Raw genomic sequence first — 15791 nt, forward strand, 5'->3', positions numbered from 1 at the left:
TGAAAGTCAAACATATCCTAAGCCTTTTGGAAAAAGACATACATGTTAGAAAATCTCAAATGGATGAGTCAGCCTGACTGACCCCACATTGACTCCATTTTATATGCTGGCCAAATCCTGTTTCTGACTTTCCTGGCACAGCCCTGGACATGCTTCTGTATCATAGGACTTGTTCCCCAGCGCCTTTGCTACTTCCTTCAGGCACATTCCTAGGAAAGATTGGCAGTGGGGTTTGCTCTTTGCCAGCACTCCTGCCGGTTTGGGGGTTATGGATGCCAGGTTGGGCTCCAGGCACTCTGCTCTCCATTTGTGGAGGCAGGGACGGTAACAGCACCTGACAAGTAGGGATGATCACATTGTATTCAGAAGCCTGGTGGAGCTCTATAAACCCAAATTTCTAACAGTCTCCAATGTAATGCCCTGTAATAGAAGCTGTCCTTAACCCTCAATCATCTGTATTCAGCTAGTATAAAAATGCAAATCTGCTCTTATGCCTAAACAGTTAGGAGTAGAGGAGACTTGGCTTCCTTTGGAAAGTCAGGATGATAGCTTCATCCCATTCTGGTTTTTGTGATTAATTGTGACCTACAAAGGGGTTTACTACTCTAGCAGGAACTTTGAATTTCCTATATACATCTCTTTCTGGTTAGCAGGCAGAGGAAATATCGTTGACTTTTGGCTTCCTGGCAAATGTCTCATTTGCCTTGTCATTTGTTGATTCCTTTTCCCTGATCTCTGTTTGGTGTGATAATGTACAGCAAAGCTGAAAACCGCAGGGCTACATGTACACTTGTAGGTACCTATGTTGTGATTGCCAAAAGGCTCAGAAAGCCAGTTTTCTAGTGAAAATGGCTAACATTCTAAGAAATGCTTTCACTGAGAAAGAGAACGGGTCAGGGGAAGGTGGAACTTAAAGGAAGATGGAGTGTTCCTGAATTCAGATTCCTGAATTAGCCATTTATAGTTTCATGGGAAGACAATGAAAAAAAAAAAAAAGAAAGAAAGAAAAGAAAAGAAAAGAAACAAGCAACCCCAAAGGTTTTTATCCTTTCAGGTATCCAAACATCTTTATTCTAGAAAGTTTCTCCTCGATGGTAAAATAAAGCTAGGACCTTATAGCAAGTCTCAGACTCACCATGGCTGTTTCTTAACACCAGTATACCTTAAGCAGTAGGTATCAATTTAGTGGAAATATAAGGGTATTGATATGTAGTGGAGGCTGCTCTGAACTTGGAGGTGGAAATACTAAGTTTAAATCCCAGCTTTTCTTTTAACATTGCAACTTTGAGAAGTCTTTTAACCATTGTCTCCTGTTTGTATCAGCATGAGGGGATAGATAATAAAACCTGCCTCACAGGAGTGTTGTGAGAATTGAGTGAAATAATGTATGTGAAAATACCAAGTACAATGCTTGCTTAGAAAGTAGAATTTTGTTTTGCCATCCCCTCCCCCACTATAGTTGGCAGGGCAGGGGGAGGCAGTATATTCATCCATCAATATTATAGATGCAATTGTTCCCAGATGTTTTGCTTTTAGGCAAAACCTTGTATAGATGACTGTATACCCTCTTACAGTTGATGCTTAATAAAACAAAACTACCATGGTTTTATAATGGAATGGTAAGCTCAAACATTTTGCTGGTAGTATAAAAACCAAGTGCCTGTGATTACCTATACATTAACTCCTGAAGAATCAATTATAATCTCAGCAACCTTGCTCTTTGACCATTCATTCTAAAGCTTGGCGAAGTTAATGAGAACAGATAATAGGAGTGCTAATGCAATTGGAAGACTTTTTTTTTTTTAAACAAAGTAAGGAAGGGATACATTTTTAAATAAAACATTGCATTTTGGTAAAAAACACAGATTATGAGAACACATTGAGTTAGAGGAACATCATATTGATTCCAAGAACAAAAAGCATGGTGGAGAAATTTTGTAACCATGCAAATCCAGTGTGCTCTGTTCTCATGAGTTAAAAAGAATTTTCCTCCTATAGAAACTTGTTATTTAAATGTGTGTCACATGTAAATAACAGTCTAATGAGAGCAATATAGAGGGAGAAATATGTAAGCAAGGGAAAGTGGGCATTGTTTTGTTTTTTTTTTTCTCCATCTATTTCAATACTTGGGTCTTTCCTAACCTATAGTGTGTCCTGTTTCTCCCTGGCTAGATTTCTTAAAGTTTCTGCCTATTCATCACTCAAGTACCTATCTCAAGTTGTAGCTACTTTTGTGTGCAGGGTGTAATAGCAGATGTTCTCCTGATCTAGATTTTGTTGCTCTGCCTAACTGCATGCCATCATTTGTTTCTCCCTTTGTGATCTTCTACTGTAGTCAAGTGTCCCTTTAGAACAAACTTCATGGGATGGACATAGCCTAATGAGCTCATTGCTGATGAAGTCTTTTTTTCCTGTGCATTGGTTAGTGCAGTAAGCAAGGCTCCTTAACTGCCTGTCCCAGTGTACTGAAAAATAATAGTGTTCTCTCACCTTAAACTACAACTTGTGGTTTTTGCTTATTGCTTCTTTAGTCTTTGACCACATGCATGTTTTTACATAGTTGCAGTTATTTTATTATATTCCTTTTTCTGTCATAAACACTTTCCAAATGTGTTTGTGGTACTCAAATTATAGCTTAGCAGTTAAATAATTTGATATATTACAGTTTCCCCTCTTGTTAGGTGTATCCAATTTTGGGGTTTGTTTGTTCGTTTTTGTTTTTTTCTGTTGTTGTTGTTGTTGTTTAAGGGAAGCACCAAAATAAACCTCTTTTTAAAATTAATTAATTAATTTTTTTGAGGCAGAGTCTCGCTCTTTCGCCCAGGCTGGAGTGCAGTGGCACTATCTCGGCTCACTGCAAGCTCCGCCTCCTGGGTTCATGCCATTCTCCTGCCTCAGCCTCCCGAGTAGCTGGGACTACAGGCGCCTGCCACCACGCCCGGCTAATTTTTTGTATTTTTAGTAGAAACGGGGTTTCACTGTGTTAGCCGGGATGGTCTCAGTCTCCTGACCTCGTGATCCGCCTGCCTCGGCCTTCCAAAGTGCTGGGATTACAGGCGTGAGCCACCGCGCCCAGCCCAAAATAAACATCTTTATATGTAATGTTATTTCCCTAAGATAAATTTCCAGGAGCTTGATCCCAGGGTAAGAAGCTATGAACATTTTCATGGCTCTTGCCTTATAATGTCATATTTTGCTTTTTAACCTTTAACAAAGAACATTCCTATGCCCTTGCTTTCAGATGGGTCTTTTCTTATTGTGAGGAAAGGGCTAACGTAAGTCCCATCTAGAAGTGACTAACTTGCCTAGTTAAAACTAGAAGGAAATATCCACTGTATTGGGCTGTTTACTCCATAAACCCTGGCTTGGCTACATGTGTGGTATGTTTCAAGTCTGGCACAAAGCCACCAAACACATTTTTGGTGAGTTGGTTTTAACCTGCTCACATCAGATATGAATGCTGAAGTTGGAGCTTTCATTATTGTTTTTGTGCTGGTAGAATGTTGCAGAAATACACAGGGCTGGCTGTGTATTCTTAGTCACTTTAAAAAAAATGTCCTGGTGTGTCTAGAATGATGGTTTCTGTTCTTTGCAAAAATAAAAACATCAAACAAGATAAAGTCCGATGTAGCCAAGACCCTCTACTTGAACCTTCTGTCGGTACTGTTTGTTTAAGTACTGTAAGTTTCCACGGTTCATGTTATCTTAGGATATCTTGTGAAACGAATCCTTGTGGTCCCTACTCTGGGCTAACGCTTTGTGACTTAACTTTTTACAGTGAACATAAAGATTCTGAAAAGAAACACAAAGAGAAGGAGAAGACCAAACACAAAGATGGAAGCTCAGAAAAGCATAAAGACAAACATAAAGACAGAGACAAGGAAAAACGAAAAGAGGAAAAGGTACAGAGTTTTCTAGTAGGGGAGGAAGGAACGTGGATGCACTTTTGTTTACCTTTGAAAGCAGATATCTTAATTGCATAGTAAGATCCCTTGGTCTTGAAGTGAAAGGTTTCTTGTCAGGAGAATTTAGAGCAAACTGTAGTCTTAAACTATAAAAACTAAGCCTTTTACCACCATATGTTTCACAGTGGCAGATCTGTCCATATCATTACCTTTTTTACTTTATATTGCCAATGAATACATTGAGAATGCATTAGGGAAAATTAATTGTTTTTGGGAGAAGGCCTAATGCCTTGATGGTCTTCTGTTCATTAAAGGTTCTTCCCGAGTGAAAATTTAGTGATGCTGGTGTCTTTTGTGGCATTTGGTTCCAGCATAACCAGTGCAAGCCTTCTAAAAATGACTAGGCTCACCCAGCTGAGAATGAATAGTACTCTGTATAGTTTTAAAAAGAGATTGTTTTTATTTTAGCTTTGAAAAAGTAATTTTTGTACTTGGTAAATTCAGATACTATGAAATAAGGAATATGGTGAAGAAGACATCTCTTCACCCCTGACTCACTGTCTCCCATCCTTCTCAGAGGCAACCGCTATACTGATTATGTTTTGTATTCTTCCATAGATACTCTGTATATCTGTATGTGTGTGTGTATCCCTTTGTGTGTATATATGAAGATTTTTTTGAAAGATAAATTTTCTGACGAATCTAGAAAGCAGGAAGTCAAAGGGGAGGGGGTCATGAGTATACTTTGCCTAAGTAATAGAAGACAGGGCATAGACTACTTTTTTGTTTGTTTGTTTTTTAAATAAAGATGGGGGTCTCACTGTGTTGGCGGGGCTAGTCTCGAACTCCTGGCCTCAAGCAGTCCTCCAACCTCATCTTCCCAAAGTGTTGGGATTACAGGCATGAGCCATCACATCTGGCCCAGTTTATATGTTTTGTTTGTTTGGTTTTTGCTTTTGTTTCCTCTCTGCACTGCCAATGGCAAATTCTTGAGTAGTGGAATGTATTTATTGGGGAAAAGAGACCTGCCACCACTTAAAAGTAAAAAGCTGCCATTTTTAAGGGAAACCTTTCTCAGTGAGTTGGACAGTTTCACCCAGAAGAATTGTTAAAAACGAGTTTTGGACACATTTCAGGACCTTTAGTTCATCTGTTCAGTTTTGGTAACATAAGAGCCAGCTTGTGATCATGATGTCCCAGGAACTGATGCTACATATTCTCAAAAAGAGGTTTCTTCAAATTTAGTCCTTTCAAGGTACTAGTTACTGTTGTTTTACTTTTCAGGTTCGAGCCTCTGGGGATGCAAAAATAAAGAAGGAGAAGGAAAATGGCTTCTCTAGGTAAGACTTTGCTGCTGCGTGGGCTTCCCTTTCTCTGGGTGGACAGCAGGCCAGCTGCCTGTGTTGTAGTGTTGTCTGAGTTAACCCAAAACCCACTGACCTGGCCATCTTGATGGTTCCCAGAAGCTCAGCAGTGAGAAGACTCGGTCTAAGCCAACCTGAGCCTTTCTACAGTGCCATATAGTGAGACTGACCAGCACATTTTCCAGAAGGTTATTTCGAATAGAGAAGGTTGACAGGAGAGATTTTTAAAAATTGAGATTTGACTTGCATATCACAAAATTTGTATTTTAATGGTATACAGTGTACCATTTTTTTTTTTTTTTTTTTTTTAGTATATTCACAAGGTATTGCAGCCTCTTCACTAATTCCAGAACATTTTCATTTCTCTAAAAAGAAACTTCATATTCAGTAGCGATTATGGAGTTTTCTGAAAAATCACTTAGTCTGATTTCATCATTAGTAATATTGGGAGGCTTATATATAAAAGATCATTTGACCTACATGTTAGGGATGAGTGTAGATTTGGGTAGAATTATGTTATCTCTTTTCTAGAAGGAGAGGAAAATGCGCAAAATCTAGAGGTTACTTCCTATACTGTTTTTACCTTTATAATTTTGTTTTCCTCAGCCTCAATTTCCTAAAATAAGCCCAGAGGTCCCCTCTAGTTTCGAAACAACTAGATGTTTATTGTTACATATTCTCACTTCACTGAATGACAGAAAGGATTTATTAGAAATGGTTGTAAGTGTTTGCATTATTGACTGGGACAAAACACTTTGAGAGTTTTGCTTCCTTGAATCTTTGAACTTTCAGTTTCATTTGTTAAAATTTTTGACAATTGTGCCTGGTACTCTGGGGTCCTTTAGACAAGGAGAAAAGCAGGTGCCCTCTTCAGGCATGTTTCATAATTGTTCTAGGAATGCAGAATAATACAATTCAGGAAGCATTAGAGCTGCAAGCTGCCCTAGGAATTTTGATTTCTGAGATAAAGTGACTGAGGAGGCACTGCTGGGCTAATCTCTGCCAAGAGACTGCCTTGGATTTTTATTAAACTGATATGAATAAATTTTTTGGACTTGGTGCATAGTCATGAATTCATTTTCAGACTTTTTGGGTTAGAAGATTAGGAACACAGCCTTCTTTGAGGCAGTGGTCTCTATGTTCACTTTGCTGGACTCCTTGCTGGCTTGTGTATATGTCTTTGTAGAGAATCCAGATGCTTCACTGGAATACAGTTTTCAGGTAAATTGTTTTAGGACTTCTTCCTTCAGACCTAAGTAACCCTTCCCACAGTTTTTGTCTTCAGTGTGACAAACTTAGGATCTAGCATTTACTTAACTAGTTGGGTAAATGATAGGCTTTCTTTCCTTCTGGACCCTAGGGTCTGTGTCAGTATTCAGGCAGGAGGGGGAACAGCTGTAGAAGCTGGCATTTGGTTAGGGTGCTAAAATAAGTTCTTTAAACATTCAAATTCTATCACAAGCAAGGGGACCCAGTATGCTTTTTTTGGTCGGAGGTACTCTTGAAACCCTGTGAATATACTTTGCAGTGGGGTCGGGATTCTTAATCCTTGGATCCCTCCACAGGGGGCAGCTGCATGTAAGGAGGCCATTTCTTGTACTAAGTTAAGGCAGTGAGGTTCTGAAGAGATGTGCCAGGCCAGGGAGCATCCCATGGCTGCAGTGATTGCTGGGCTCTATGGTGTTTTTTACTTGTTCCTTCTCTGTTTTGGTTCAAGATGTTTGTCTCAAAGGATTGTCTTTTTATATTTATATTTTGAAGGTAAGATCTTAACAAATAGTAGTGAGACACTCTTCTGTATATAAAGTAAACCTAAGTTAGGACGTTGAACAATGAATAGATTTGGCATAGGATACCTTCTGTTTATTCTGGTTTAACACGTGCCCTACTTTTGTTGTAATGTTGTCAGCTTGGTTATTTTTCCATGTAGCTAGATATACATGTACGTTATTGCCACATTTTTAGAACTTTAAGGTACTAAGTTGGGGAAATCAATGTTTATTCCTTTCCTTGTAAAAGCTGTACTTTAGCTTTTAGAGTACTGGAACAATCAGTTCAGATTGTGGGGTCAAATATATGGTAGGTTTCCATGTAAGGCAAGAAAACACCTTAGGTTTATTTCTGGAGTGGTTCGTGCCATGCTGGCAAAGATAGCTAAGAAATAGTGAGAAAGAATTCTGACTTAGAATAAAGAGTCTTGATCCCAAATCCTGATATTGCCCATTCACCTGTACAATGAGGACAAATACTATCTACTTCACAGGATTGAAGTGAGAAAAAGTGCTCACAGAACATCTTCATGATATGTACGTGGTTATCCTTATTTCTGTTAGCTTCTTTTCAACGAAATGACATATTCCTTCTTTGTATTAATAGAATACAGATGTTCTAGCACTCTGACCAGCAATTTTTTTTCTCTTTAGTCCACCACAAATTAAAGATGAACCTGAAGATGATGGCTATTTTGTTCCTCCTAAAGAGGATATAAAGCCATTAAAGAGACCTCGAGATGAGGATGAGTGAGTATTTTCTTAAAACTTTGACTTTTGAAAACAAAAAGGAGGAGTTTAAAGAATAAATGTGATGTGTTTCTTTATAATACATATAGAAACTGCATTAATTGGCTTTTACTCATTTGGAATTTGTGATTAATGGACTGATTTCTCTGAACTATGAGAAGTAGAGTTTGCTAAACAAGTAGTATACCCAAGGCTTACATGAAGATTATATAAATTTTTATTACTGAAAAGGCAATAGATATTTATTGTAGAAATTTCAAATAATACAGAATTCATGAAGAATAAATTATTTAAGTTACTTAAAATTTCTTATTGCCTACCACAGATAACTTAAAGCAGTTTCTCTTAGACCTATTCCTGTCAGACATTCTAAGTGAAGTTTCAGTGTGTAAAAATAATAAAACTGCTCATAAAACGGTCGAGGCTTACATGTATCTCTTTCCCCAGATTCAATGAGATTAAATTATATTCATTATTTTCACTCTTATATAGCTTACTATGCTATTGTTATAGTAGAAATTGGATGGAAAGGGAGAAGGGAAATACTTAGTGAACTCATTTGTATTCATTCAATATAGAATTTCTTTCCTCCACATTCCAGTGAGTTACTGCTATGTGGTAGCTAGTGTGCTGTGTGTTTGGTTCCCAAACTTTCATCTTTTATTTTTATTTATTTTATTTTATTTTTTTTCCCAGACTTTCATCTGATAATGATATTTATTTCTGCATATATCCCCCCACCCTATTTTGCTTCCAGGCCGGTGTAAGTGGTTTGTTTTGTTCTATATAGGGCTATAACTATTACTCTTTGGTCTGACCTTCATTATTTTCTCTATTTCTGTTAGTCTTGACCGTAGAATGCCCAGCCAAGAATAACAGTGATTACTCTTGCCATGGAGGCATCCAAGAGTTTGTAGGTCTCCTATGAGTGAGAACTCCTGAATCATAATTATGTTAACTGTGTATTCATGTTCCCCTTTCTAGTGCTGATTATAAACCTAAGAAAATTAAAACAGAAGATACCAAGAAGGAGAAGAAAAGAAAACTAGAAGAAGAAGAGGTTAGTAAAGAGACTTAGGTCCTTTGGGGCTTGAGTTTGGAAGTGGGAGTTTTCCAGTAAGCAACTTCTTAAGACAAATGAGTTTTAGATATTTATTGGCTTGTTATAACATTAGGGAAAACAAATTTAATAAGTGGTGGCTGTGGCACTGGTAGTTTTAAGATCTCTGTGAATCCCCACAGTGTCTTAAGTTAACCACAACCAGCAGTGATTCTGCTCTCAGCCTTCCTGGGTGTCTGTCTACCCACAGCTAGGCTGCCAACAGATGTTCTTCCAAAAACTATGTCATCTTCATATATACAGAGGCAGTGTTAACAAGAAACCACATTTTGGCTTATAACCCTGAAGAAATTTCCCTAAGAATTTTTTGCTGATCATTCACTTTAGGTAACCATTCCTATCTAAAGTTCTTTAATGGGTACCCCTTTGACATATAATTGACACCCAAACTCTTTACTGCAGCTCCTCCCAATCTGGCCCCTGCATCTTGTGTCTCTCTTCATCTTGTGCCTCTTCTCTAGCTTACTTGTACCAGTCACACTAGCCTCCTTTGTTTCTTTTCCACACCAGATTCTTTCAAACTTCCGAGCTTTACGTAGCACCTGCTGTTCCTCTATCTGGAACACACATGCTCCCTTCTTTATCCTTTTGGCCTATAACCTTCCTCAAAAAACTCAGTTCCGTTTAAATGCTTTCCTAAATGTTCTTGTTGATGCTTGTGGTAGATTGAAAATAGAATCATATGCTTCCTCCTTTTGACACTTTTGAGTTCTTGTACCAAAAAATTGTTAGCAGGTAATTCAAGAAAAGATGTCAGAAATTCACAGGGGTCTTAATGATGCCCTCCCCTAAGACAAGAAGGGGTTGGGTGAGTTCTTAGCTCTTATGCTACATTTGAGGTTAGCCACTGTCATGGGCAAAATGGGATCACAAATGTAAAGTGGACAGTTTGAAGTACCAGCAGTAAAGAGAATGATAGTGAAGGGGCAGGGAGTCTTAAGAGGATAATCTATCATAATAGAATGATGTTAATAATCACAATTAAATGTAATAGGTGCTTACCATGTGCCAGGCACTCTTCTATATATGTATCATTTCATTTAATCCTTACAACCTGAATAGGTTGTTACATCCCTATTATCATCTCCATTTTGCAGATGCAGAAATAGAGTATAGAAATATTTAATCATTTGCCTGAGGTCACATAGCTACTAAGGTGGAAAAGCCAGCATTTGATCCCATGCAGTCTGACTTCAGTGCCAGCACACCAGCTACTATATTATCCTACCTCCCCTGGGACTTTGCTGATGCTCTAATTCTGCAAGGAGGGAGAAGAAAGGTCTTTAATGAAATCATATGAAGACCATTAGTGAGTGAGTTGAGCCATAGAGAGATGATCAGGTCCTGAATTTAGAAGGTTGCCGTTTTTTTGACAACTAGTCTATTCTTGGCCGAAGTTCAAATTAATAAGCACTAATTCAAGGAATTGAGAGTGAAATGTTAAGTAGTGATTATGGTAGCCAATCACTCCACTTGCATATACCAAATCAGTACAGACTAGTCAGTAAAGGAATATAAAACTTGAGTTCTCCAAGTGTTTTTTTTTTATGTTTATATTGCATTTATGCAAAAATAATACTCTGAGTTTGTTAAACCATTGGGAAAAAAGAACAGTTGACTTCATTTGTTATTATTCTATTTAGCAGCCCTACCACATAGGGGGAAAAATGCTGGCTGAAAGACTGAATTAATACAATCTTACTGTGGCAGGGACCCCAGATGGCAGAATCTGTCATTAAACCTCACTCGCCAACTATAGTTTTTTTGTTTTTTGTTTTTTTCTCTTGTTTTTGAGAATTGTTCTGAGGTCTCTTAGTGACTGACACCCCAATTTGAGGCTTGAAAACATACAATGTAGCCAGTAGTTTCCTGATGGGACCAGCTGGATGCCTGCTCAGAAGCTGTTTAGAGTATCTTCACTGAAAAACATTTCCCTTTCCTGTGGTGTGTTTCACCCTAAATAGTAAACATTATCTGAATTAATGTGATCCTGTAGTACCTTCTCCCAAACATACCCACATATTTATATTCTCCGTGCCTGTTTTAAAATATGGATGGTACTGTAAGCTTTCCTCTTTTTTCTATTCCTATCTTGATTGCCATCCTATTATGAGGATCTAAAATGTTTATTCCAGTTATTCCCATAAGTCACATTCTGTTATTTTTCTCATAAAGTTAGGCTCTTATCATAGTTAATAACAGCTATATGACCTTGATCAAGTGACAAAATATGTTTCAAAGTCCTTGATTGTAACTGGAAGTGGTTAAATGAACCCATCCATACACTTTCCAGCTGTGCCACTCTTTAATTGATTTTAAGATGGTTCAAAACCACCTTTCATTGCTATATAAAACTTGTTGAATAAAGACTGAATAAGTAGTTAAATTATGTTGAATAGGCAGGACAAAGGAAAATATTCTTCAAAAGAGTTCAGATTCTGAGTGGGATCTTCACTTGTTGAATATTACATTTTTGTTTGGGTTTTGTGTGTATGTTTTGAGATTCATCTCCTGTATTGGTGAATTGTGCCTGTTTAGGTTTGATGCCCGTTTATTGTGTCACTGTGATCAGCTCATTTACATTCAGAGTTCAAAGAAGAGCCATAAAGAAATACCACCATAGGAATTGGTGTCATTTTAGAACCTATCAAATACTTGCTTACTGCATCATGACTTTGTGTATACAAGCAGCAGCGATAGTACTATACTCCACTAAATCAACTGGGAATTTTCTTTCATCCTGAATACTAAATATCTAATGCAAAGCCCCGTCTAGCCGTTATTTGATTGTACTGGAAGAGGTTTAAAGATGAGTAGGATTAAACATAAGTGAGGAAAATACACTCGGATTACTCTCTAGAGCAGTACTTTTCCAAACTCCTTTGAGGTTAAAAAAAAAAAAGTTTCCCAGTCTCTTCCCCTGCAGAGTGTTTTTTAACTACTTTCTCAAGTAGTTGTTTGTCAGGAAATTTTAGGAAATACTGCTGTAGAACAGAGCACCAGTACATTGTTATTCATCTGTCAAATGAGAGGAGTACTAAGATCTTCTTTAGTTCTAATACTCTATGATTACAATTTTTCTTCCTCATGGCTCCCAAAAACTGCCTCCAGAAGTGTGATCAGTCTTTATTTAAGTGCTTTCTCACCATGTTTCTTTGTAGGATGGTAAATTGAAAAAACCCAAGAATAAAGATAAAGATAAAAAAGTTCCTGAGCCAGATAACAAGAAAAAGAAGCCGAAGAAAGAAGAGGAACAGAAGTGGAAATGGTAACATCTCAGCACTGGGTTAAAATGCCACCTTTTTTATTGCATATCCTTACGAAGCAAGAGTATTGAGTTATTAAAATTAATATCCTGATATTTGGGGGGAAATACTTTAAACAATTTCTCTAGAGTAACTTTCTGAAGTAAGTTTTCCAACTTCTAGTGAAATCATTAACTGGTTCTAAATCTATTGGATCTCAAACTGGTTTCCACCACTGTGAACAGAATGGACTGTAGAAGCAGACCTATGTATAGGTGGGAATTTAGCATACGAAGAGAGTACAGATGCATTTAAAACCATACGGAAAGGACAGATTATTATGTAAGTCGTGTTGGGAAAACTGCCTGTTCAACAACAGAAGAAACCTCAACAAGAAAACGTGGGTGAATATTTTTATAATTGTGCAGTAGTGAAGATCCTTTGAAGCAAGACATAACCAGAGCCATAAGGAAAGGTGTTTTACATTTGATACATCAAAGTTCAATTTATGGCAGGTGGACACCTTCATGCCATTTAAAAAAAAAAAAAAAACTCAAGGCAAAATATTTGCAATACAAAGGGCTGATATTCCTAATATGAAAAAAAGCTCTTTTAAAACAAATATGAAAGGAATGATCTAATCAGAATGTGAGGAACAGTCAGTTTAGTAAAATAGTTAATAAGCATCTAAAAATGTGATCAACTTCATAAGTAATCAAAGATGCAAAAAAAATGATAAATCTTTTTGTTTAATGCCTCTCAGATTGGGAAAGATTAATAAGTGAAAATATCTAGAGTTGCAAATGTAAGAAAACAGGCATTCGCCTTCCCTATAGGAGTGAAAATTCAGTCTTTATGAAGGACAGTTTAGTCATAGCTGGTTGCTCTTGAGAAGTGTATTTAGGTGGAGAACTTTTCTACTTTTGCTGTTTAGAATCTTGAAATAAACATGTTTTTAAAAAATACTTATTTCTGTTAACATGTTCTATTTAACTACTATACCAGCAGTACATGATTTTGTGTTTATGATGAAAAAACTCAAATGATTGACAGATTTAATAGTTAGAATAAAAATCAAAGTCACCTTTACCTGTCTTCTCCCATTCTCATTTTCCTTTCCAGCTTTCCAGCTTTGAGGTAATCACTGTTCATAATTTGATGTATAGCCTTCCAAACCTGTTTATGTGCCTTTATGGCTTTTGTAATTTAGAACTTTGATGTCCACAGCACCTCTGAGGAAAGGGAGAAAGAGCACTGACCAGGAAGGTGGCAGAGGGAAGGAGAGCCACAGTGGCAGAAATGTGGCCACACGGTGACAGCTATGTGATTCGCATGTTGCTATGGCATCATGGGATTAAATGGGAAGTATAGAAAAGGAATATCACAGAGCAGAGCAACCCTGCCTCTTTCTAGAGGTCAGAGTCAGAAAGTAAAAGGCCAGGCACAGTGGCTCGTATCTGTAATCCCAGCACTTTGGGAGGCCGAGGCTGGTGGATCACCTGAGGTCAGGAGTTCGAGACCAACCTGGCCAACATGGCGAAACCTCATCTCTGCTAAAATTACAAAAATTAGCCGGGCGTGGTGGTGCGCACCTGTAGTCCCAGCTACTTGGGAAGTTGAGGCAGGAGAATTGCTTGAACCTGGGAGGCGGAGGTTGCAGTGAGCTGAGATCACGCCACCGCACTCCAGCCTGGGCGACAGAGCGAGACTCTGTCTCAAAAAAAAAAAAAAGAAAAAAAACCCCACATGGGTTTATTTTCCTCATTTTTATTTCACTTTTCTTAAGAACTAATACATTTTCAGTGATCTTGACCTTTAAGAAAATGATTTTTAGAAATAAAGTGATTGTGTAAATTAGAGGTTATTATTGGGAGTTAAGAGAATGGTAGGTTAGTAATTCATCAGTCAGGGTTCTGTGGTAGTTACTCAATAAATGCTTGTTAAATGAACAAATACATTTCCTTATCAGGAGCTCCCTGCTGTCTCCCCTTTACTTCGGAGCTTTGGCTCTTTTTGGGATCCAGGCAAGTGCGCTGGGTCCAGCCTTGTATGTGTAGAATTAGGTGCCCTTGAGGGGTTTAGGAGCCTAATTTTGCTTTTGTGGTTGAAATCCTTATCAGTGTTGCCACACATTCACTCTGACAGACCATGACTTTTGGTTTTTATTCTTATTTTGGGTTAAAGGGGAACTGGCTAGTCTTTAACTAAAAGTTGTTTTTTGAGGAATGAGCAGACTTTGCTACAGCTTCTAACGCATGCATTTCTCAGGTGTGATGGTTAAACCTTGCACATTCTTTTCAAGCACAGTGCTTGAATGGCACACCGAGTTTTTGGTGTTGAAAATATGAATGAAGAGCCTCTTAACTGATAGCTAGAGGCTGTGTATCATACTCTGAAGTCAGTTATCCAGTCCTCAGTGACTGCCACTGATGACCTAGTCGGGGAGTTAAATGGCAGATACCCTTATTTTTACTATTCCTTATGCTATCCTACTAAAAGAAGTACACACTTTACAAGCTTGACAAATTTGCAGATCTTTTTCTTCCCTCGTAAGTCCGCAGACCTGTTTGTCTTTACCAGAAAAAACCACTTACTCTGATCTTTATCTCCCTCCTTTGGTAATTGTTCAGTTGGAAAAGGTCCAGGTCCCTCAGGGTTTCTTTGCTATATCACGTTATCTCCATAGAAACATTGTTATAAGTGGTGGCAGTGTGCTTGGGTTCATACATGAAATCCTGTTTATCCCAGATGTCCTGATTTTTAACTGTTGGCCATTGTAGCTGAACAGGGTTTCAGCACTGTTGGGTTAATTAAGTACACTTTTGTGTCAGGGCTGACCTGGGAATATAAGTTGCCAGTTAATTCTCAACAGATGATTCTTCATAAAGAATTACCTGGCGAGTTTATTGCAGGTGTTAGGTGTGACTTTAAATGGAGTTTTCAATCTCTTAGCAAAGGTAAAATGCTGTGATGAGTCAGGACTATAATGTTTTAAGGAATTAGTGTTGCAAGACCAAGACTCATAAATATATGGTCAATGATAGTGGTAAGAAATTTATGGAATATGGATTATTGACATTTTGCTCAAACCAGAAAAACTTCCCTTAATTTCAAGGATTAGCATTCAGAAGCTACAGCATCTGACCTTTATTTCTAAATTTAAAAAAATTAAATATGAGTTTTATAGCATACTGTGAAGTGCTTGTTAACTGCAAGGGAACTTGATATCAAACAGCACATGGAGTTTACTTTCCTGTCTTTATATTTCTAGCACTTTTCCACCTTTCCCCCTTCAAGCAAATTTTATTATTAAATTGGTACTTGATTATTCAAGTCAAGCTGCCAAAGGGAAGCCATTTCGATGTCTAAGTACATGTTTTTGTTTGTTTATTTGTTTTTAAATTGCGGGGGGCGGATATATGCACTCATGGGGAGGCTAAAAGGACAGAACTGTTTGCTTTTATTTGTATAATAATAGCTGTCAGCCCAGTCACATGAGCTTACTGAAACAGATATTCTGTCTTTCTGTTTAAACTGAAGTTTAGTGTTGTGATTTGCTGAATCTCTTAATTTGCTTAAATGGTAAAGAAGTTGCTGTGGGTCTTCAGGATACACATGTTGAAATAGGAGTCGTAAAA

The 15791-nt window shown here is 37.8% G+C and overlaps 1 protein-coding gene across 1 annotated transcript in view, besides 1 other annotated feature; it reads left to right on the top strand.

Annotated features, from left to right (window-relative positions):
- The window catches only part of TOP1 (DNA topoisomerase I), a 95666-nt gene that overhangs the window by 43571 nt on the left and 36304 nt on the right, over nucleotides 1–15791 (top strand). The window contains exons 4-8 of the mRNA NM_003286.4: nucleotides 3779–3902; nucleotides 5190–5245; nucleotides 7693–7788; nucleotides 8773–8848; nucleotides 12070–12176. Of these exons, the coding sequence (NP_003277.1) occupies nucleotides 3779–3902; nucleotides 5190–5245; nucleotides 7693–7788; nucleotides 8773–8848; nucleotides 12070–12176 (459 nt within the window). The remainder of the gene's footprint in view (nucleotides 1–3778; nucleotides 3903–5189; nucleotides 5246–7692; nucleotides 7789–8772; nucleotides 8849–12069; nucleotides 12177–15791) is intronic.
- Nucleotides 10293–11912: a mitotic recombination region, noted in NCBI's record as "NUP98-TOP1 recombination region recombines with the NUP98 intron 13 (TOP1) recombination sub-region of the nucleoporin 98kDa recombination region". NCBI's record gives the evidence for it as "EXISTENCE:nucleotide sequencing assay evidence [ECO:0000219][PMID:12874791, PMID:10959088, PMID:11979559]".

The sequence above is a fragment of the Homo sapiens genome, chromosome 20 (assembly GCF_000001405.40).
Source record: "Homo sapiens chromosome 20, GRCh38.p14 Primary Assembly".
NCBI classification, from domain to species: Eukaryota; Metazoa; Chordata; class Mammalia; order Primates; family Hominidae; genus Homo; species Homo sapiens.